This window comes from Homo sapiens, chromosome 16, assembly GCF_000001405.40.
Source record: "Homo sapiens chromosome 16, GRCh38.p14 Primary Assembly".
NCBI lineage: Eukaryota > Metazoa > Chordata > Mammalia > Primates > Hominidae > Homo > Homo sapiens.
In genome coordinates, this window is record NC_000016.10 from 13,937,039 (window position 1) to 13,958,647 (window position 21,609).

Here is a 21,609-nt window from a genome sequence, read left to right on the forward strand (position 1 = left end):
AGCCCCAAGTGGCTGGGACTACAGGCATGTGCCACCATGCTCAACTAATTTTTTTTTTTTTTTTGTAGAGATGGGGTCTCAGTATATTACCCAGGCTGATCTTCTGAGCTCAAATGATCCTCCCACCTCAGCCCCCCAAAGTGCTGGGATTACAGGTGTGAGCCACCGTGCCCAGCCTAAAAACCAGGACTTTTCTAAGAGAAAGTAGATCAAATTATTCTTTGAGATGCCTGATGTAATCCATACGTCTTCCATGCCCATGTATTTATATAAAATGTGTGACCGCTGTATTCTGTTAAGACATGAATTAAAAAAAACGTTCATAGGCTGGTTTTCATAACTACTGTCCAACTTTTTAAATGATTGTTTGGCTGAGGTACAAAGAAAGAATTGGAGAAGCCTCTAAAATTTGTGTGTTTTTCTGTTTGTTTATAGTTATGAGGAGAGAATTATTCTATCCCTCTAGTTATATTTCAGTGTTTACCTAAACTCGTTTCTTCCTTTTGGCAAAAGAAAATAAAAAATGCCCTGTGTGGTAACGAGACCTTTAACAGGTGGGGTTTAGGCAGCTTAATTTGAGCTAGTGTGTGATAAATGAAACCTTTGATTCTTAGTCAAATATTTGTTATTTGAGCGCTCTAGGTTGCTGATTTCACATGTTCTGCTGTTCCTTTCAGGGATTAAAAATGCTGTTTTTCCAACCTAAAAGTTCTGTCTTAACATGCAGGGTTTACTTTCTTATATACGGAGGTTCAACTGAGGAACAACGCTATCTCACTGCTTTGCGGAAAGAAAAGGAAGCTTTTGAAAAACTCATAAGGTAATACATAGAAAATCAGTATGAAAGCCCCAACTACATTGGAAACCTCTGGATGGGGGAATATCAGATAGTCCTGCTCAGGAAGGATAGGGCAAGGAAGACGTTGGAGAGGATCACATTGAGATAAACCTGTGGTCTGAATTGTCCTCCAGTGTAGATCTCAGCACATACTTCCTTTTTCTCTTCCCCGTCTCTTCCTTCATCTCCAGTTGCTTTTCAGTGGTTTGTTTAATAGAATATTAGAAATGTGACAAAGACAACTGCTTTTTTGTTTGTGAAGCAGTATGATAAAACACGAGAAATATAGCTAAAATACTGCTTTTCTAAGAAATACATTAGTAAATCTCCCTCCTCCCTGCCTTATGCACAATATGTCCTTGGGTGGGTGGCTGCTTTACCGTTTATTGGGAAATGCTTTTACAACACAGCCAATTATGATCACCATCAATAGAATCACTCTGGGAAAATATTTCTTAGGAAGTGTGTTGTTTGTCTGGACATACACGTGTATGTTTTTAAGAATGAGTATCTGGTACTATTCCAAATCCAAGTAGAAAATGCCCTTCCATTTTACGAAAGGAAAATGGTGAGATGTTCACAAACTGGTTGGCTACCTCTTGCCCTGAAGGCATTCGATAAATCTGATAACCACCTACCAGGGATATTGTCAAGAAGATTGCAGCCTGGTGTGGGAAGATGGGCCAGATAATCTCTAAGGGCCTCAGAAGCCAGGGCAAGTGCTGGATGGGGCATCACAGAGCTGAGCCAGAGAAAGTTAGATCAGCAGAGACCATGGCCTGGACGGAGTGGGCTGGGCCAGAGCAAACTTCCAAGCCTCAGACATTGGCAATGGAGGGCAGAAATTATTTTTAGCAGTAGTCAACCTGCGAGGACTGCCAAGACCCTAGGCCAAATTTCAAAATGGATAACCATTCTGCAGTGGTGGCTGCGGGTTCTCAGTGTATGTGCAAAATATACATATAACCTGGATAGCCCAGGAGAAGAATTCTTGGAAATGGGGGTATTTGCTGAATCAGTGGCATGGAGTCCCACGATGGGGGTCAGCATGGTGCATGGGCGGTCCCCTCTTTTCCCTTCACATCCTCTCGAATGGTGATATGCCTTGGCCATGGATTCATCCAGCTGCTAGTCATACAAGTATTGCTCAGTCCTCTCAGCCTATGAAAATATGTTTCCTACCAGTGTGCTCTATGGGATTGTTTATGTCGTATATGTGGGTATATATATTTTTCAAAAACCTAGTTCAGAAATCGTGTTATAACAGACCAGGCATTATACCAGCCGCCTCTTGTTCCAGGCTCTTTGCTCCTCTCTGTCTTACTCTTTGTCTGCTAGACCTTCACGCCACAAGGCTCAAAGAGTAAACAGGTATTTATTAAGCATCTGGTATGTGCCAGGCCCTGTGCTAATATTAAAGTGCTGAGGTTACAAGTGGTGCAGAAAAAGCCTCTGCCCTCCTGGAACTTACCCTTTAGTGGAAAAGACAGACATTAAATTATTATAAATATTGTAATAAGTAGAGGTATACAGAGCACCGCTGGCTGCAAAGGTAAAAGAAGAGGGTGTAATAGGAGAGTACATCAAAGACCTCACCCAGACCACAAGCTGATCGGGAGCCGCTTCCCTGAGGAAATGATATTCAAGCTGATACTAGGCAGATGGGGTGGAAAGGGGGTTATGTTGAACAAAGGCGTGCACGAAGGCTCCCAGGTACAAGAGGCCCTGTAAAGGATTTAGGGCTTCACGGGCAGTAAGACCGCACTGAAGCATTCTAAGTAGGAAAGGGACTTAGGTATGTTTGTAAAGGCTTTCTCTGGCATCAAGCTGAGGAGTGAGTGAGGGTGGAAACCAGTCAGAATGCTAGTGCAGTCTGATGGGAGAAGGTGGTAGCCAAGATTAGGTTAATGGAGGAAAGAAGACAGATTTGAGAGAGATTTGGGAGATAGAATCAAAGAATTGGTGATACTGGATGTGGGCCAGTACCTCCTGACCATTCCTTCACTCTTTTTAGAACAGCCTTTGCCCAAGTTTTCGCTCATTAAAATAATTGTCACCTAGATAGAAATGAGTGCACAGAGCTAAAATACTCAGATTGGGTTTTCAGTGTTCATGTCAGGGTTCCCCAAGATCATCCTCAGGCTCGATGATTCACTAGAACTCACATGAGTCAGAAAAGGTGTTATACTCACAATACAGTTTCTTCCAGCAAAAGGATACAGATTAAGACTGGATGCAGTGGCTCACGCCTGTAATCCCAGCACTTTTGGGAGGCCAAGGCGGGCAGATCACTTGAAGTCAGGAGTTCACGACCAGCCTGGCCAACATGGTGAAACCCTGCCTCTACTAAAAATGCAAAAATTAGCCAGGAGTGGTGGCGCATGCCTGTAATCCCAGCTACCCGGGAGGCTAAGGTGGGAGAATCACTCAAACCCCAGGAGGTGGAGGTTGCAGTGAGCTTAGATCGTGCCACTGCACTCCAGCCTGGGCAACCGAGTGACCCCCGTCTCAAAAAAAAAAAAGAAAAAAAAGATTAAAATCAGCAAAGGGAAAAGGCACATGGGGCAAAGTCCAGGTAAAACCAGGCCTAAGCTTCCAGGTGTCCTCTCCCAGTGGAGTCACATGGATGTGCTGAGTCCTCCCAGCAACAGTGTGTGACCACACATGCAAAGTGTTGTCAACAGGGAAACTCACCTGAGCCTTGAGTCCCCACATTTTTACTGAGCTGAGTCACATAGACACAGAGTACCTCCATGGCTGGCTACAGCTCCTCAGACTCCAGCCCCCAAAGCAGCAACAGACATTTACGATAAATCACATCGTCAGCATAAACTATCTGATCCAGCTGGCACATTGTGACCCAAGGCCTCAGGCATATAAAAACCTTATCAGGGAGAATACTCCAGGGGCTCAGAGCTCATCTCCCAGGAGCTGACCAAGAGCCAGTGTTGAGGAGAGAAGCCTTTCTTGGAAACATGCAGAGTTTGAGCAGCCCAGGCCTGCTGAGTTAATCCTTTCCTGCACAGCGTTAGAGCCAGAGGAGCCTGATAGAATGGGAGGAAGACAGCACCTGAGTAGGTGAGTTTCTTGCTTCGCCTGTCTTCATGCAGCTGCCTCTTCTCCAGTGCATCAGGGAATCTAATCTAGAAAAGAGCACTTTTAGTAGATAGTAGTAAGGTACCAGATCCCATGCCATTCCTGATTTATGCACCTGCTTCTACACATCAAAGGACTCAGTGACAAGATGTGGATTAGCCTTATACATACTGGAAAACCTCACTCAGCAGAACCTGGATCATGGACTCTCTCCCACATTTCAATCCATAGAAAAATTTCTGCACCAGGTTTTAACATAATTTTATCTGTTATCTGGCATAATTTTTAATGCTTTCAATGATGATTGTCTACTTGTCATAAATAAGATCTTCCCATTTTACCCAGCAGTCAATCAGATAGTTGCACTGTTAAGAATCTTAAGATACTTACTTTCCCAGGAAACTTGGGAAATTTGAGAGGTGCTTCTTTTGCAAAGCAAAAACATATTTGAGGTGCATTGTTCAAAAAACATTTGCACTGTGTACTTAAGAGAAAAATTTAATATGAAGATGAGACAATGTGCTTTTACCAAGACCTCCATGGGTGATGTTGTAAGAACAAAAGCAGTTGTGGCTCTTTAACCAGAAAGGAACAAATCAGGTGAACTGACAGTGAAAGGATTGTTTAGCTGGATTAAAGATCTGTAGATTATAGATAACAGATAAAGTGGAAAAGATTACACTGCTAAATATCATAATAATTTTATTTCTACCCAGGGACGTAAAATGCTCCCTGGGTAGAAAACTTAGTAATAACATCCTCAGTATACATAGCTTTGAGGAGGTCACTGCTTTTCAAAGGAAAGGGTAAGATTATTTGAAATTTTACTTTTTGAAAATACGATCACAAAATGGGCTAGCATGAGGGCTTAAGTAAATGCCCATTGGAAGAGACTTCTAGTTCAGTGCTACTTTCCTATGTTGCCATAGGATTATGTTGTACACGGTATTCAAATAACATTGAAGACTGGGTGCAGTGGCTCACGCCTGTAATCCCAGCACCTTGGAAGGCCAAGGCGAGAGGATCACTTGAGCCCAGGAGCTCAAGACCACCATGGGCAACATGTGAGAATCCATCTCAATTTGTTTAAAAATTAAAATAAAATAAATTTTAATAAAAATACCATTGAAGATACTAAAGCAAACATAGGAAAGCTTGGTGCTTTAAGCAGAAATAGGAATCTGAATTTTTTAATTGTTTTGTGTCTGTCACATAGGGGAACTTGGATAATTATGCCACATGTTGAAAGCAAGAGACTGGCTGTTTATAATTACGATACATTTCTGTTAAACTGAATTACTGCTTAGGAAGGCTTATTTTCTTCATAGTCCAGGTTTCATCTCGAATATATTTTTTCTCACATTCGACTTGTAGTTAAGTTATAACATTTAGTGGTAAACTAGCTGTTTTCTGTAGCTATTAATGGAAACAATTGTGGAATTATTTGAAAGCAAATCTTCAGTTTTTTAGTATAATCATGGATAATTAGACGAAGAGATTACCACGTTATAAGAAAAGTACAGTAATAATAACACCTAACATTTATATAGTGCTTACTAGGTGCCAGGCACTGTTCTGAGCGCCTTGCATATGTTATGTAATCCTCATAACAGTCTTTTGAGGTAAGTTTTTAAATTATTATCCTCATTTTACCAATAAAGAAGTTGAAGTACAGAGCCATGAAATGACTTGCCTAAGGTCACGTGGCCAGTAAATGGTTTCAGATCCACACACTTTGGAACCGGAATCTGTACTCTAACCCCCTAAGATTATACAGACTACAAATTAATCAGGAAATTGGGATGATCCCATGTGTGATATACAGCTTAGCCAGTGTAACAAGTAGAAACAAAGTGGGGGACACAACATAATAATACCAAATGAATGTTAAGGAAAAATAGAAGAGCAGTAATTTTTTTGAATGGTCTGCCCTTTGTCCTAACCAGAGTGCAATAGAGAGAATGGAGTGGTAATGAGTGGCAGCCAGAGCCATTGCCATTGCAGAGGGCTTTTCAGCAGGTAGCGCTTGAGTCTGGTATTGAGAATAATGAGAAAAACATGGAACTGAAACCATTGTCTGCCCCCTTGTGATCTACTTATAAAATTTGTACTAATAATATATTTGCATTTATAGGTTGTTTCAAATAGTATAAAATTTTAAATTACAATTTCTGTTCTTTAGTAGTATCTTCTAGTGATACCCTGCTCTAAAATATTTATCCAGAGTGGTTGAAGAATTGAACCCTCTGATTTCATTTCCTCTAATGGGTGTATTAGTCCATTTTCATATTGCTATGAAGAAATACCCCAGACTTGGTAATTTATAAAGAAAAGAGGTTTAGTTGATTCACAAGTTTCACATGGCTGGGGAGGCCTTGGGAAACTTACAATCATGGCAGAAGGGGAAGCAAACTTGTCCTTCTTCACATGGCAGCAGGAGAGAGAATGAGTGCCAGCAGGACAAATGCCAGACACTTCTAAAACCATCAGATCTCGTGAGAACTCACTCACTATCATGAGAATAACATGGGGGAAACCACCCCCATGACTCAATCACTTCCCACCAGGTCCCTTCCAGGACACATGGGGATTATCGGAACTATTAATTCAAGATGAGATTTGCGTGGGGACCCAGCCAGACCATATCAATGGGAAAATCTTGGTTGTTTTAACCCTTGTTGAAATTAATTAACATTGATGGTTCCTCTTCTGTTCCCCTCACCTTAGTCTGTTTTATCGCAGTTCCTCAGTTCCAGTTGTTTTTTTTTTTCTTCTCATGTTTGCTTTGTTCCCTCGACATCAGTTGTGAACCCAAGCAGGGAAGAGACTCAGCTTATATATCTTTTCTGTCATACCTGGCAGAATTAATTATAACATACTTTATCAATTTTGAAAAATAAAGCTACCGCAAACCTGGCTTACTCTTTCTGTGATTATTGAGGATCTTGTCATGATGTAGTTCCAAATTGCGAATCTTAGTTATGATTGTACTGTCCTCTAGATCTACCGTATAAGATATGAGCCACCTTGAAGACAGGAATTCTTGCGTGATCACGATTATATCCAAAGTACCTAGAGCACCACGCAGGAACACTCCATAAATGTTTTTCAATAAATGCATGAGTGAGTAATGAATGCTGCTCCCAAGGCATAACCTGAGCTGTTGATTTTTTGTTTTAATCTCTGATAGAAATTTGATTTCTTATATCTATTTCAAAATCTTGATCTTGATTTTCCTTTAAAACTCAGGGTGTTTAATGGGACCTCCCACCTGGAGTTTTTAACATCAAAATTCTATCATATATGTTTTTTAGTTTCTTAATGATTTTTAACCACCCCTATTTGTGATTACCCTGAAAATGTTTGAATATAAATGATTTACATTTACACTTTAACCTTACAAACAGTCTCAAGAATCTCTTGGTGGCATTTTTTACATGTGGCATTTTTTGACATGCTTGTGTTGTTTCTTAAATATTTGAATATAAAGTCAAAATAAACAACTGCTTTTTTTACTCTGGAAAATCAAGAAGTAGTATCCGACCAAGGCACTTTTTACTGACTTTTTCTACTTCCTTTACCCATCATTTGTCTTGGCATATTTACTTCTAATATATTCCTTGTTTTTGTTTTTGTTTTTCTCTTACTGCTATCATCATGTAGATCATTTTCAATACTACAATTTACACACAATAAAATCTAGAATTTTGAAATTTGTTTCAGAAGTGTTGACAATGTTTTCTCCCACAGGGAAAAAGCAAGCATGGTTGTCCCTGAAGAAAGAGAAGGCAGAGATGAAACAAACTTAGACCTAGTAAGAGGCACAGCATCTGCAGATGTTTCCACTGACACTCGGAAAGCCGGTGAGTCCTGCACTTTGTCAGGCACCTCCATTGCCTGCAAAGGGGGCTGTGAAGTTCCAGAGTTACTCTGCCAAGGCTTGGTCTGTATTAACAAACTCTTAAAAATGGGGGTTGGGCCAAGGAGAGGATGTGTACTTCCCTACTCTAATCTCAGCTCTGCCATTCACTAACCATGTGTCCTCCCCAGAGTGAAGGCACTGTGTCATCTGCGAATCATGTGAGGTTGAGTTTTAGGCACCCCAGCTTAGAATGGGTTATGTTCCAGCATTTCCTTTATATTTGGTTGGTTGAGACTCAGAATGTACTTTTGCAAATAAACTTTGTTAAACGGTGATTAGGTTCTTATCTCAACCTAAAAAGCCAGTTTAACTCAGAGTAGTTAAAGGAAGTTTCTCCTTCCCTCCTCTGCCTCTCCCCTTAGTTGTATACATAGGTGGGGTGCATACACTCCTCCTCTCCTTCTGTATTCATTTCTTCTTGGTAGCTCCCCAGATACCTGGTGTCTGGTACGCATTGCTGTGCAGTGTCCAAACTGTGGCATGCCACCAAGACCTGCTGAATTCCAAGTGCACTGTGATCCAGAAGTCACCATTTTCCCATTCCCCAAATTCCTATTTTCCTATGCCAGCAGCTGATTTCAGCCAGGTGGCATGAGAAAAGCAATACGATTGAGTTGGTTTAACCTTCGGTGAGGCCAAGTACAGTTGAAGCAGTGGGTGTCAGAATTTAGTAGACTTTAGAATAACCTCAGATGCTCATTAAAACTGTAGATTCATAACCCTCAATTCATAGAAATTCCAACTCAGTGGATGTGAAATGGAGCCAGCAGCTCGGGGGCTTCTGATGGAAGTGGTTTTTGGACCATACTTTGGGAAACATTGCCTCAGAGCCTCTGTGTCTTGTTCAAAGAAGATTCTTTGAAATATCAACCAGGTTGTTGACATTTCATGAAGAACGACAGAATGTAAGGCAGTATGGGTACCACACAGAGAGCTGTTCGTAGAAGTCTTTCCTTAGAGATCAGTTCTCCACGCCTTCATATTAGTTGCCTATGGCTGCTATAACGAATTACCCCAGACTTAGTGGCTCAAAACAGCACACATTTTATTATGTTACAGTTCTGCAGGTTCAAAGTCCAAATGGGTTTCACAAGGCTAAAATCAAGATATCGGCATGGCTGCATTCCTCCTGGAGGCTCTAGGGGAGAATCCCTTTCCTGGCCTTTTCCAGCCTCTAGAGGCCACCTGATTTCCTTAGCTTATAGCCCCTTCCTCCATCTTCATAGCCAGTAGCATAGCATCCTCCCTTCTCTGATCATCCTGCCTCCATCTTTCACTTCTGAGAATCCTTCAGCCTACCTAGATAAGCCAGATAATCTCCCAATCTCAAAATGCTTAACGGAGATACATTCTGAGAAATGTGTCATTAGGCGATTTCATCATTACATGAACATCACAGAACGTGCTTACACAAAGCTAGACGGTCTAGCCTGCTGCACAGCTAGGCTATGTGGTATGGCCTATGGCTCCTGGGCCACAAACCTGCACAGCATGTTACTGTACTGAATACTCTAGGCAACTGTAACACAATGGTAAGTATTTGTGTATGTAAACACATCTAAACATAGAAAGGTACAAAAATACAGTATTGTGATCTTACGGGATCACTGTCTTATATGCACTTTGTCATTGACCAAAACGTTGTTGTACAGCACATGACCGTATTAATAGGTTGCAGGGATTTGGATGTGGACATCTTTGCGGGGTACCATTATTCTGCCTACAGCAGCCCTTGATACTTAAAAATGTGATCCTTAAACAAGCAGCATTAGCATCACCTGGCATTTTGTTATGAATGCAGATTCTTAGACCCCTTAGATCTCAGACCTACTAAATACAACATCTGTTTTTTTGTTTGTTTGTTTGTTTGTTTGTTTGTTTTTGAGACGGAGTTTCACCCTTGTTGTCCAGGCTGGAGTGCACTGGTGCAGTCTCGGCTAACTGCAACCTCCACCTCCTGGGCTCAAGCAATTCTCCTGCCACAGCCTCCCGAGTAGCTGGGATTACAGGTGCACGCCACCACACCCGGCTAATTTTTTGTATTTTTTGTAGAGACGGGGTTTCACCATGTTAGCCAGGATGGTCTCAAACTCCTTTCCTCAGGTGATCCGTCCACCTCGGCCTCCCAAAGTGCTGGGATCACAGGCGTGAGCCACCGCGCCCGGCCCGAATCTGCTTTTTAATGTGACCCCAGGTGGCTCATGTGCATGTTATAATGTGAGAAGCTGTGGTCTAAGATGTTCATGTTTTTCCCAGCTCCTTCCCTTTCCCCATCTCTGGACTCACTGATATAAATACAATAGTCCCTAAATCACTAGATTTGCTCAGTGAGCATTTTTAACATCTACTGGGGCCGCTATTTTAAGCCTCTACCCTCAGGCTTTGTCCTAGGAATTGGGAATACATTGACCAACAAAATGTGGTCAGTGAGGAAACTACAGAGGGGAGACCTTAGCAGGTATGTGTGGATTTATGAATCATCGCAAGTAAGGAACTACTGACAGTCTAACTTTCCTATTAGCTCGGTTTCCTTCAAGGGAAATTGCCTCTACTTTATAAACAAATCTTTTTGAAAATATAGAAATTATATGGAATATTACCATATAGAATTATGTAACCATCCATCAGAGTTAACAACAGAAACATCGATTTTTAGATTTTGTTATATTCCTTCTTTGAGAGTTCTTCCCCAGTGACATTACTTACTTTTTCTCTGTAGGTGGCCAGGAACAGAATGGTACACAGCAAAGCATAGTTGTGGATATGCGTGAATTTCGAAGTGAGCTTCCATCTCTGATCCATCGTCGGGGCATTGACATTGAACCCGTGACTTTAGAGGTTGGAGATTACATCCTCACTCCAGAAATGTGCGTGGAGCGCAAGAGTATCAGTGATTTAATCGGCTCTTTAAATAACGGCCGCCTCTACAGCCAGTGCATCTCCATGTCCCGCTACTACAAGCGTCCCGTGCTTCTGATTGAGTTTGACCCTAGCAAGCCTTTCTCTCTCACTTCCCGAGGTGCCTTGTTTCAGGAGATCTCCAGCAATGACATTAGTTCCAAACTCACTCTTCTTACACTTCACTTCCCCAGACTACGGATTCTCTGGTGCCCCTCTCCTCATGCAACGGCGGAGTTGTTTGAGGAGCTGAAACAAAGCAAGCCACAGCCTGATGCGGCGACAGCACTGGCCATTACAGCAGATTCTGAAACCCTTCCCGAGTCAGAGAAGTATAATCCTGGTCCCCAAGACTTCTTGTTAAAAATGCCAGGGGTGAATGCCAAAAACTGCCGCTCCTTGATGCACCACGTTAAGAACATCGCAGAATTAGCAGCCCTGTCACAAGACGAGCTCACGAGTATTCTGGGGAATGCTGCAAATGCCAAACAGCTTTATGATTTCATTCACACCTCTTTTGCAGAAGTCGTATCAAAAGGAAAAGGGAAAAAGTGAACAGTGATGGCTGTTTTCTTATCCCATGCCTGTACTTTTCAGCGGCTCCTTGCCAGACATCATAGGTCATTATTAATTATTGGTTTGCTATTTCATTCTTTTCCAATGCTCTTAATGATTGTACGGTGGACCAGAAGCCAGGATTCCTCTCTGAACTCTGCAGTTAGGCATCACTTGAACTTGCCTGTGCCTGCTCTTTTTCCTCCCTGCACCGTCTATGCCGGGCTTAGCATGTTTCTTTTTAAATGAGGTTTGTCAGGATCAGGTAAAGTTCCTACAAGTGATTACAGAAGGTAGAAACTTTACCTGATCCTAACAGATCTCATTTAGAAAGGAATATGCTAAGCCTGGCATGGACGGTGCAGGGAGGGAAAAGAGCAGGCACAAGAAAGCTACCATTTTTAACAGTCCTTGTTATCTAGTGCAACATAAATAACAGTCTTAATTGCACTTATACCCATGTCCTGTGGCTCTCCAAATCTGGTCTTTGCTGTTGTGTCTGCTGGACGCTTGAACTGATGTTTGTGTAGGAAATCATGTTCTGACCCTTTGTCTACAAAGGAGCCTTCTGGAACACTGAGAAGAAACATCTCTTTGCCATTCCTGACCAGTTCTCTCTACCACATTTTCTTCAGCTCCATACTTCTGCCTGTCTGCTCTAAGGAAATTTCATGGAGCCTTCCTACTACTAATTCAAGACAGTCTCCTCAAAAACTGGTTGACTAGTCTTCTAATGACCCTAACATATGTAGCATATACTATAATTTCATTGTTCCAAATTAGTATTTTTAAAGCAAAATGAATTACCTGTTTGCAAAAGTTAATGATGAAGGAGCTCTTAGAATTCTCAATTTTTGCACATATTCAGTCTCCTAATATCAGAGATCCCTAAGTCCAGCTGGCTAGTTACAGAGTTTTTTCAGACTTCCTCGTTTCTCAGCTCTTATATCCTAAGACACCAGCATCATATCCTCTAGAAATACAACCTAATTGGCAGTGAGCCGAGATCGCACCACTGCACCCCTGCCTGGGCGACAGAGTGAGACTTTGTCTCTATTACAAAAAGAAAAGAAAAGAAATACAACCTAAGCTCACCTGCCTGTGATTCCTCATTTCTCACCATCCTGTGCCAGGGTGGCTACTTCTCTCTGTGAGGACTCAAATACAAGCCAATGAGTGGCCCACTAAGCTTTTAAGATTTGATTTTCCTGCCTTGAGATAAAAAGGAGTGTAGGTAAATGAAAGATCAATGTATGGAATATATAAAAATACGAAAGAAATATATACGTTTAAAAATCCATAAAGAAAAAAATCTCATTCTAAACCTGATTAAGTTGGCTTTTTACGTAAGTGTACAAATAGGATATTCACAGCATCTTTGTGCAGTTTTTAAACTTTTATATTTAAACATTATTAAGTTGGCTTTTGTTCACATGTTGAGTAATGGGTAGTAAATTTTCTACCTCAGGAGCTGATATAGACATCAGTTCTGCTAGCCATATCACATATTTTAATGTTTCATCAACATCAGCTGTTTTTTTGTTTGCTACACTATTTGAACTAATAGACAGTGGATCATGTAACACAAAATTGTCTTCAACTTTAACAAAATTGTCATTGTTATTTTTTTTTGAGACAGAGTCTCCCTCTGTTGCCCAGGCTGGAGTGCAGTGGCGCAATCTCGGCTCACTGCAACCTCGCCTGCTGGGTTCAAGCAGTTCTCCCACCTCAGCCTCCCAAGTAGCTGGGATTATAGGTGTGCACCACCAGACCCGGCTAATTTTTGTATTTTTAGTAGAGACGGGGTTTCACCATGTTGGCCAGGCTGGTCTCAAACTACTGACCTCAGGTGATCCACCCACCTTGGCCTCCCAAAGTGCTGAGATAACAGGCGTGAGCCACCGCACCCACCCAACAAAATTATTTTTAACTGTCGTTTCTGAACTGAACCTCTCACATTGGCATCTTGATTTATTGGTACTTAACAGTATATATGGATTTTGAACTCTACACAAGGGTATAACCAGAATGAATTGAGGGGTATCAAGAACCAGATTGGTTACAGTAGAACTCTGTAAGATGATGTGGAGAGTAAGGAAAAGGAGAAGAAATAAAAATTAGTTTAAGATGGAATAAAGATTTGGGCTGCTAATTTTTTCCCAGGATTCAAAATATACCCGCTAGAATGGAAAACAAAAATTTGAATGATTACAACATTATCGTTAACATTCAATTTTGTATTTATTGTTTTATTGAATATAGTTCAGAGTATATTAAAATAGACCTACCACTTCAAATGATAATGATTATTATAATGTCTCTTCACCCTATTCTAGCACTTCTGCTTGCAGTATGTGGTTTCTATTTTTTTCCTCTTGTATAATTCCACTTGCTTTTAATTGTTGTTTCATTATATAAAAGGAACATCTTCCCATAGCATATTCTATGAAAGGGGTTTCATTCCAAGTTGAGTTTTCAAAAAAAAGGTCTTCCTAAAGCTACCATTTTCAACCGTCCTTGTTATCTAGTACAACATAAATAACAGTCTTAAAAATTGCACTAATACCAGTGCCCCCCTGGCTCTCCAAATCTGTTCTTTGCTCTTGTATCTGCTGGACGCTTGAAGACAGGTGCACTGTCTCGTATGTATTTGAATTATGAACAGTAATTTCTAATGAATTCTAAAATGGTCATTGTAAGTGAAAGCCTCTCGCTACCACTTCCTCTTCCAACTACATAAATATATTTCAATGTATTTCCAGTTTTGGAAAGTTTTCAATACATACATCAAGTGTTTACTTAGATTTTTATAAAAATTTTTTTTACAATCTAATAATCTTTGGTAAAGGAACTAGAGATGCATGCAGTTGCAAAATTAATGTATTTATTTTCCAGCATAATTTTATTAACTTCACTTTTTTTCTCTCTAGTAAATATCCAGTGTACTTATGAACTCATGTTTGGCTCTTTTAAAACCTTTTCTAAAAGCTAGATCAGCATTTTTCTATTTTACAAGTTTTTTGTATAAAAAGGTGAACATATGAGATATTGTGAGAAATCATTTTAAGTTTCATTTAAATCATGGTGCCTCTTTTGATACTTTCTTAAAATTGTGCAAGAAGAAATCATTTTTAGTAGTGGTCATAAATATTATCCTTTTGGCAGTAAGCTATTACTAATTCAGCCTGAAGCTCGGTAGACAATATGTCTACATGTGTTTGAGTACATCCTGGATACAGTTTCCCAGCTCATGAGGGACTGAAAATAGTCTTATTCATCAACCCACTAGGATGTGAAGGGTTAAGTCTAGATTTGGTCGCATTGAAACCCCACAATATAGAATTAATAAATGGCCTTCAGTAGGAAAACCTACACTAAAGCAAATCCGAAGAAGTGGGGCAGGGGGAAAGAGGCATTACTGGTCTTTCCTTTTGTTTTGCAAGCATAATTTGATTTTCCTTTGGCTCAGAAAACTCATTTGGGGAAATTCTCTTTTGTGTTCAGTTTAACCTAGAAAGGTCCTCTTGAAAAACCAACATTTTAGGAAAGTTCTTTTTTCAGGATGGAGTATATTAAAATTAAGCCAGGCTTTGACGTGAATTATCACTTTTCTTTATTATTTTGTTTTCTATTTTGGTTTATAGCTATTTCTGGTTCAGTTCTGAACTTCAGCACTTAATCATCCTTATCAACCAGGCTTTTGGTAGCCTAAACCGCTATGCTGTTGTTTTTTTAATTTAAAGATGTATAAGCCAAAATTTGGATGGGAGTGAGACATAACTGATTTATATGAATTTTAACAGAGTTGTATTTGTGTGTGTTTAATAAAATATATATTTATTCAGTACTTTCCTCAGTATTTTATGGGCAAAGTAAAAATAACAATGCATAGTGAAAGGGCATATATTACCAGCAGTAATAATTCAAAATCCTGAAAATGTTTCATTTTTTTTGTTTTTGTTATGCAGAATAAACAAGGCAGAAATGCTCTTTGAACCACTGCTTTTGCTGTTTAATTCATTTGATAACCTACTTTCTAAGACTTGAAACTATTAGTTATTTTTCCTTTCTGCTTTTCATTCTGTATCATGTCTCCTTAAGGAGGAAAACAAAACAAAACAAGAAAACTATTCTTCTGAAAATATTCATTTGTCAGTTTGTAATGAGTGTGTGGTAAACACAATGCCTGGGATATCTTAGCTCAACAAAGGTGAATTCCTTGCCACTCCTGCCTCGTACATTTTTGTTCCTTTAATTTCAGAGTTGGAAGAAATGAATTATCCTTTCAACACCTCTGGAATTTATTGTAATCTTTCAAACAAGTTTAATTATTGGTTACTGATTGGCTCATTTCAATGATTTAATTACATTTGCTTCTTCAAAATGTAGATCTGTATCCCTTTTTAACAAGGTGTGAGACAGGTTATTTCTCAACATGTTTTAGTGTCTGAATAAAACTTTGGCAGACTAACCCCTTAGTAGCGGCACTGTAACTCACATTTTTTTAAAATCACTTATGCATTATCTCATTTAATCCTCATAACGAAGCCATGAAGGTACTATTATTTAATCTTGTTTTACATGATGAAACTGAGACACAGAGACGCTAAGTAATTTGCTCAAGGTGGAACCATGATTTGATACCTTGATGTACAGCCCATAATGAAATAGTGGGGTTATGGGGGGTAGTGGGAAACATTTCTGTACACTTCTATGTATCTGATTACAAATATGTCATAGAAATATGTCATAGAAAATGCAAATTGGTTTTTTGTTTTGTTTTTTGAGACGGAGTCTCACTTCATCGCCCAGTCTGGAGTGCAGTGGTGCGATCTCTGCTCACTGCAACCTCCGGCTCCCGGGTTCAAGCGATTCTCCTGCCTCAGCCTCCCAAGTAGCTGGGATTACAGGCGCATGCCACCACGCCCAGCTAATTTTTTGTATTTTTAGTATAGATGGGGTTTCACCATATTGGCCAGGATGGTCTTGATCTCCTGACCTCGTGATCCGCCTGCCTCGGCCTCCCAAAGTGCTGGGATTACAGACATGAGCCACCATGCACGGCCTGCAAATTGGTATGTTTTTATATCTCTCTTAAAGTGTCAAAAGGAAGTATGTAAAACTTAGATACAATAATACTGAGTTTCCTCTCTGTGTAGAGCTAGATATTTAGCAGTTGCCTAGGCTGCCTCTGATTTTCTAGGGCCATATGCCTCTTGGTCACTGATTAGGAAGGCTATTTTGCAACTTCATAAGAATAGAGGTTAATTTAAATAAAACTGTTGGCCATGCAAATGATTCTTGTCCAGTTGCATTGCAAAGGTCATTGCCTAGTGTAGCATTAACCAGTTTTGCATTTTTTCACAAACGTATTTCTGCACTCCTTTGACCAACAAATTCCAAATCTCCAGGTCCTTGACTTTCTTCTGAACCAGTCTTAATGATTTCCTCATTGAGTGAGTCAAATAAAATCTTTGACTTCTGTTTTGTTCTTTTTGTATAAGAGGCATGGTTTTAACTTTTTTTTTTTTTTGAGATGGAGTCTCGTTCTGCCACCCAGGGTGGAGTGCAATGGCGCAATCTTGGCTCACTGCAACCTCCGCCTCCCGGGTTCAAGCGATTCTCCTACCTGAGACTCCCAAGTAGCTGGGATTACAGGCATGCACCACCACGCCTGGCTAATTTTTGTATTTTTAGTAGAGACCGGGTTTCGCCATGTCGGCCAGGCTGTTCTCGAACTCCTGACCTCAGGTGATCTGCTTGCCTTGGCTTCCCAAAGTGCTGGGATTACAGGCGTGAGCCACCGCGCCCAGCCTATGGTTTTAACTTTTTGAAAATTGTCCTTTATAATGGTATTGCCAGCATGAGCTCCTGAAGCTCCCATATAATGATAAAACCCTGTTTCCAGCCTCATGCATCCTAAAGTTATAAAATAGAAGAGGGTAATATATATACACATGTATATATATAAAATCAAGAAATATATATATTTCTTAAATATGTAAGAAGTATAACGTACTAATACATTAACATTGAAAACTATGATTAGATATTAATTTTAAGAACTACAAATTTTAAGATGCTGGCATTTTTCAATGGACTCATCCTCATTCCGTTTACAAAAGCTCAGCTGAATATTTAGTCTAAGTTTCTTTTCTGTGTAGCCGTTGACTATCAGTGTTAAAGAGGCTGATTCATGAATGAGAAAGAAAAGGAATTTTTGATAATCCCAAAGATCTATTTGTGTGACTAAGATATTTCTACGTGAGAAGAACACAGCTCTCTGAGGCCTGAAAGGTAAACAAAATCAACTCAAGATTTTAAATAAAAGAGTTTCCTGGTTTCATGAAAATAGTAAATAAACCAGGTCTAATAAAATGGTAGTATGGCATATTTGAGATGGTAATATTTAGGGACCCTTTCCTATAATTATGAGTTCCAGAACTTGGTGTCAATTAAAGAGTCCTCTTAACTGAGTAAAAGATTTGCCTCCCTGTGCAACTTTATTTCTGGGAAGGGTGACACCCAACAGAAGCTTAGGAGAGAAGACAGTTTAGTAGACCAAGAGAAGCGTGACCAGGCAGGTTTATTTTCAGCGTCAGGCATTAGTGCATAAGGCAGAGGGCTCTCTCTGGGTTTGATGCTATAACAAACAGTCCACGCCATCGAGGGACATTCAGTCTTGCAGTGAAGAGAAGTCAGAGGCAGAAAATGAGCAGGTGGAAGAATAAAAAATCCACAAGAGAGATAGAAGTGTTCCTGAGGTCAGAGGAAGAGGTCATATCCCTGCAGGGAACAGGAATAGCCTCAGAGAGGAGGTAGAATTCGAGATGGGTCTTAAAAAACAGCTAGGATTTCAGCAGACAGATGCAGGGCTCTGCACTTCAGCCCCGGTCTACCACATTAGTGAAGAAACAGATGGGAAATAGAATAATGTTTAAAGAGGGAGTTGTGAACGCTAAGTAGGAGCAATACGAGGGCCATATTGTAGGAGTCTCTTAAGGGCTAGGATGAGGAGTTCTCATTTCAGTAGAAAAGCGAATGTTCAATTAAGGAAAAAATGAACCAGAAGACTTTTAAAATTTTGGTCTGGCAGTAGAGATTTTGAAATGGAAAGGAACTAATATTAATTTACAGTGTGCCATGTGGGTTGTGTATGCTACCTTTACAGACAAAGAGACATACTGAGAGATTAAGTGACTAAAGCCACAGTGGAAGGACATTGCAGATTCAGACTCCAAAACCTGTCATCTTTCTGCCAGACCTTGCTGTCTAGAAGGGAGGATTGGAGGTGAAAAGACCACCTCAGAAGCTGTTGTAACAATCTAAGCAACAGGTAACGAAGGCCAGAACTAGAATGACAGCTTTCGAAATGGAAGGAAGGACAATCTTTGGAAGGTGGCAAATGAAATGTATGCCCGGGAAGAGTCTAAATAATGCCTACTTTTTAAGCCTGGGCTCAGGAGATGATGAGACTGTTGAAGAGAAAAGTTAAAGTCTAGAGAAGGACTTGATTTGGAAACGGAGAAGTACAGTTTTGATGGGAAAGGAGAAGTACGGTTTTGATCAGGTTGATTTTGAGATAGCAGAGAGCCAGGGGACAGTCTCAATACAAGATGTAGTAGGGGTTGGGCGTGGTGGCTCACGCCTGTAATCCCAGCACTTTGGGAGGCCAAGGTGGGCGGATCACTTGAGGCCAGGAGTTCGAGAGCAGTCTGGTCAACATAGTGAAACCCCCATCTCTACTAAAAATACAAAAATTAGCCGGGCGTGGTGGTCCACACCTGTAGTCCCAGCTACTTGGGAGGTTGAGGCGTGAGAATCTCTCGAGCCTGGGAGGCTGAGGTTGCGGTGAGCGGAGATTGCACCACTGCACTCCAGCCTGAGTGACAGAGACAGACTGTGTCAAAAGAGGGGGAAAAAAAGAAAGATGTAGTAGGCATCTGCACTGAAGTGAGAACTGAAAACATTGGCTGAATAAATAAGTGGTTAAGGTAAAGAAACCTGAAACGACTAACAGAACGCTAAAAATGCCTACACTTAGGAGGTGGCAAGATAGAGACAGAAAATTAGAAGAAGAAACTGAGTCATCCAGCAGCCAGAATGAAAACAGGAGGGAATTTCAAGGGAGTGACCCACAACATCAGGAGTTGAGCCGTATGAGCGCTGGCGGCCTTCAAGGCAACAATGAAGACAGCGCTGGTCATCCTGTGTGGTGTGTCCAGGAGACCTAGGGGCACACGCCCGCCTGGGGGTCTGAGGAAGCCATGGGGGGTGGTGAGGATGAAGAAAACGAGGATGGGCAGGCTGAACAGAGGGGCGATTTTGCTTGTTGGTGATCAGGATGAGGGAGCAGAGCAAAGTGGGAGAAGGAAGGCACTAGAGAGAGAACAGAGAATTAGGCAGAACCAAAATTTAGTATTGTGGGGGATGGGGGTGGAGGGAAAAAAACGAACGTGGTTTTGCTTTTCTTCCTTTCACACCTACAGAAAACCTGTTTTTGTATTGAATTGCTTCTTCTTAAAGACCAGCATCAACCTGATCATGCTCCCCACCATGTGAAACGGAATGGGCACGCCACGATAAGTAGTAATGAGCCTTTTCGGCAGCCTTCTGTTTTAACAAAAAAACGCTGCTGTTTGGCATTGAAGTTTGCTTGTGTTTAAGCTCGCGGTGGAACAGCCTAGGACCCCTCTCTGTTTGTAACCTGGCTTTATAATTTTGTTATTATTTAAAGCCTCCCTTTCAGCGATTTTTTAAAACCAAAATATATGCTGGCTAATGTCATCTGGAAACTGAAAGTCGATGTTCAGCAACTCTCACTCGCCAATCCTACAACTTGGTAAGGATTTTTATTTTGGTCGTACTGAGCTTACTGTAACTGGGGCGGCTGAGTTGCTATGGTAATTTGTTCTCAGAACAGAGCACTTTGCTGCAATGCATGGAAACAGCAGATAAATCTACTTTATGTTGACTTGATTGTGACATTAATTCTAGTTGAAACATCCTCCATGCTCCCATCAGGACTCATGTATAAGAATTTTAAATTGGAGCCAAGAAGGCATTGGCTAAAAGAATTGCAACTTCGGCTGTTTAAACCCAGGCCTTCACAATTCATGCAACTGAAGGCTGTTGGCTCACAGCCTAGAGCGCTGCCCCGGGGGCGGCTTGCAGCTGGGGGAAGGTTCATCACTGAGGCAATTATGTGGTTAATTGCTCCAGTGTGGGCTTGGGCTGAGAGTTGTGACTCATGCCGCCCTCTGTCACTAATAGATGGGGGTAGGGGGTAGAGTGGACAGGACTCAAGGACTTACTGAAAACTCAGCTGCCTTTTCCCTTTCCTCTTGCAAATAAATCTGTAACTCACTAACATCTGCCCTGGAGATGTGGGAGGAAGGTAGACCTCAACTCCAAGACTTGGTGCTCCCGGCCTCCATTGGTAGGGGTCCCCATTAAGTCCCACGTCCTGAACTACACTGGAGCCCTCGGACACTTTAAGGATCACTGCACTCCGAATTGGGGTGTATCTTCCTCCAATTCTTGCCTAACCATGACAGAGGAGAGACAAAAACTAGATGCCTGACTTCGAGCATGACTCATTATAAACAAATAGAGGACAGATTGACTTCCTCTTATCAGAGCCCGAGTCTGCGCCCCAGGACACAGCATGAGTCAGACTTGAAGTCCCAAGTCTTGTTGGGAATTTTCCCCCTGAGAAAGAGGTAGATTTTTGAGTAGAGTTCTGTTGATTTCTTGAATATTATCAGTGACCCCATGTTAAGCCCTGGGCTTCTGCATCAGGTCACATCCCTTCGAAACCAATAGAGCTTCCAGAGTAAGGATAAAAATTGGCTGTGCTCACAAAGAAACTCATTTGGAATTGATAGAAATGTTTGTAATTTTAGCGGTGATGGTTTTGCAATGTATAGATGTCAAAATCATAAAAGCATACACTCAATATGTGCAGTGTATTGTATATAAATTATACTTCAAATATTTTTTAGAAGAAACATAGTTTAGCAGGAAAAAAAAAGATGTAGTAGGCACCTGCATTGAAATGAGAACTGAAGACATTGGTTGAATAAGTAAGTGGTTAAGGTAAAGAAACCGTAAACGACTAACAGAATGCTAAAAATGCCTACACTTAGAAGAAGGGAAGATACAGACAGAATATTAGAAGAAGAAACTGAGTCATCCAGCAGCCAGAATGAAACAGGAGGGAATTTATAGGGAGTGACCCACAACACCAGGAGCTGAGCAGTATCAGCGTAGATAGCCTGGTGGCCTTTGACGCAACAAT

At 40.9% G+C, this 21,609-nt stretch overlaps 1 protein-coding gene across 4 annotated transcripts in view, besides 5 other annotated features; it reads left to right on the plus strand.

Moving 5' to 3' along the window:
* The window catches only part of ERCC4 (ERCC excision repair 4, endonuclease catalytic subunit), a 32,195-nt gene extending 16,885 nt beyond the window's left edge, over positions 1 to 15,310 (plus strand). For all 4 annotated transcript variants that reach the window (XM_011522424.4, NM_005236.3, XM_047433774.1 and 1 more), the window contains 3 exons: positions 728 to 820; positions 7,685 to 7,797; positions 10,576 to 15,310. In XM_011522424.4, coding sequence (XP_011520726.1) covers positions 728 to 820; positions 7,685 to 7,797; positions 10,576 to 11,309 — 940 coding nt within the window. In that variant the 3' untranslated portion in view covers positions 11,310 to 15,310. The remainder of the gene's footprint in view (positions 1 to 727; positions 821 to 7,684; positions 7,798 to 10,575) is intronic.
* Positions 19,112 to 19,181: a silencer, noted in NCBI's record as "silent region_7223". NCBI's record gives its function as "represses an Ori minimal core promoter by ATAC-STARR-seq in GM12878 lymphoblastoid cells {active_cell/tissue: GM12878}" and the evidence as "EXISTENCE:reporter gene assay evidence [ECO:0000049][PMID:35858748]".
* Positions 19,639 to 20,838: an enhancer, noted in NCBI's record as "CDK7 strongly-dependent group 2 enhancer chr16:14050534-14051733 (GRCh37/hg19 assembly coordinates)". NCBI's record gives its function as "activates an origin of replication core promoter dependent on BRD2, BRD4, P300/CBP, MED14 and CDK7 cofactors, with strong dependence on CDK7, by STARR-seq in HCT116 cells {active_cell/tissue: HCT116}" and the evidence as "EXISTENCE:reporter gene assay evidence [ECO:0000049][PMID:35650434]".
* Positions 20,422 to 20,471: a silencer, noted in NCBI's record as "silent region_7224". NCBI's record gives its function as "represses an Ori minimal core promoter by ATAC-STARR-seq in GM12878 lymphoblastoid cells {active_cell/tissue: GM12878}" and the evidence as "EXISTENCE:reporter gene assay evidence [ECO:0000049][PMID:35858748]".
* Positions 20,492 to 20,551: a silencer, noted in NCBI's record as "silent region_7225". NCBI's record gives its function as "represses an Ori minimal core promoter by ATAC-STARR-seq in GM12878 lymphoblastoid cells {active_cell/tissue: GM12878}" and the evidence as "EXISTENCE:reporter gene assay evidence [ECO:0000049][PMID:35858748]".
* Positions 20,652 to 20,771: an enhancer, noted in NCBI's record as "active region_10488". NCBI's record gives its function as "activates an Ori minimal core promoter by ATAC-STARR-seq in GM12878 lymphoblastoid cells {active_cell/tissue: GM12878}" and the evidence as "EXISTENCE:reporter gene assay evidence [ECO:0000049][PMID:35858748]".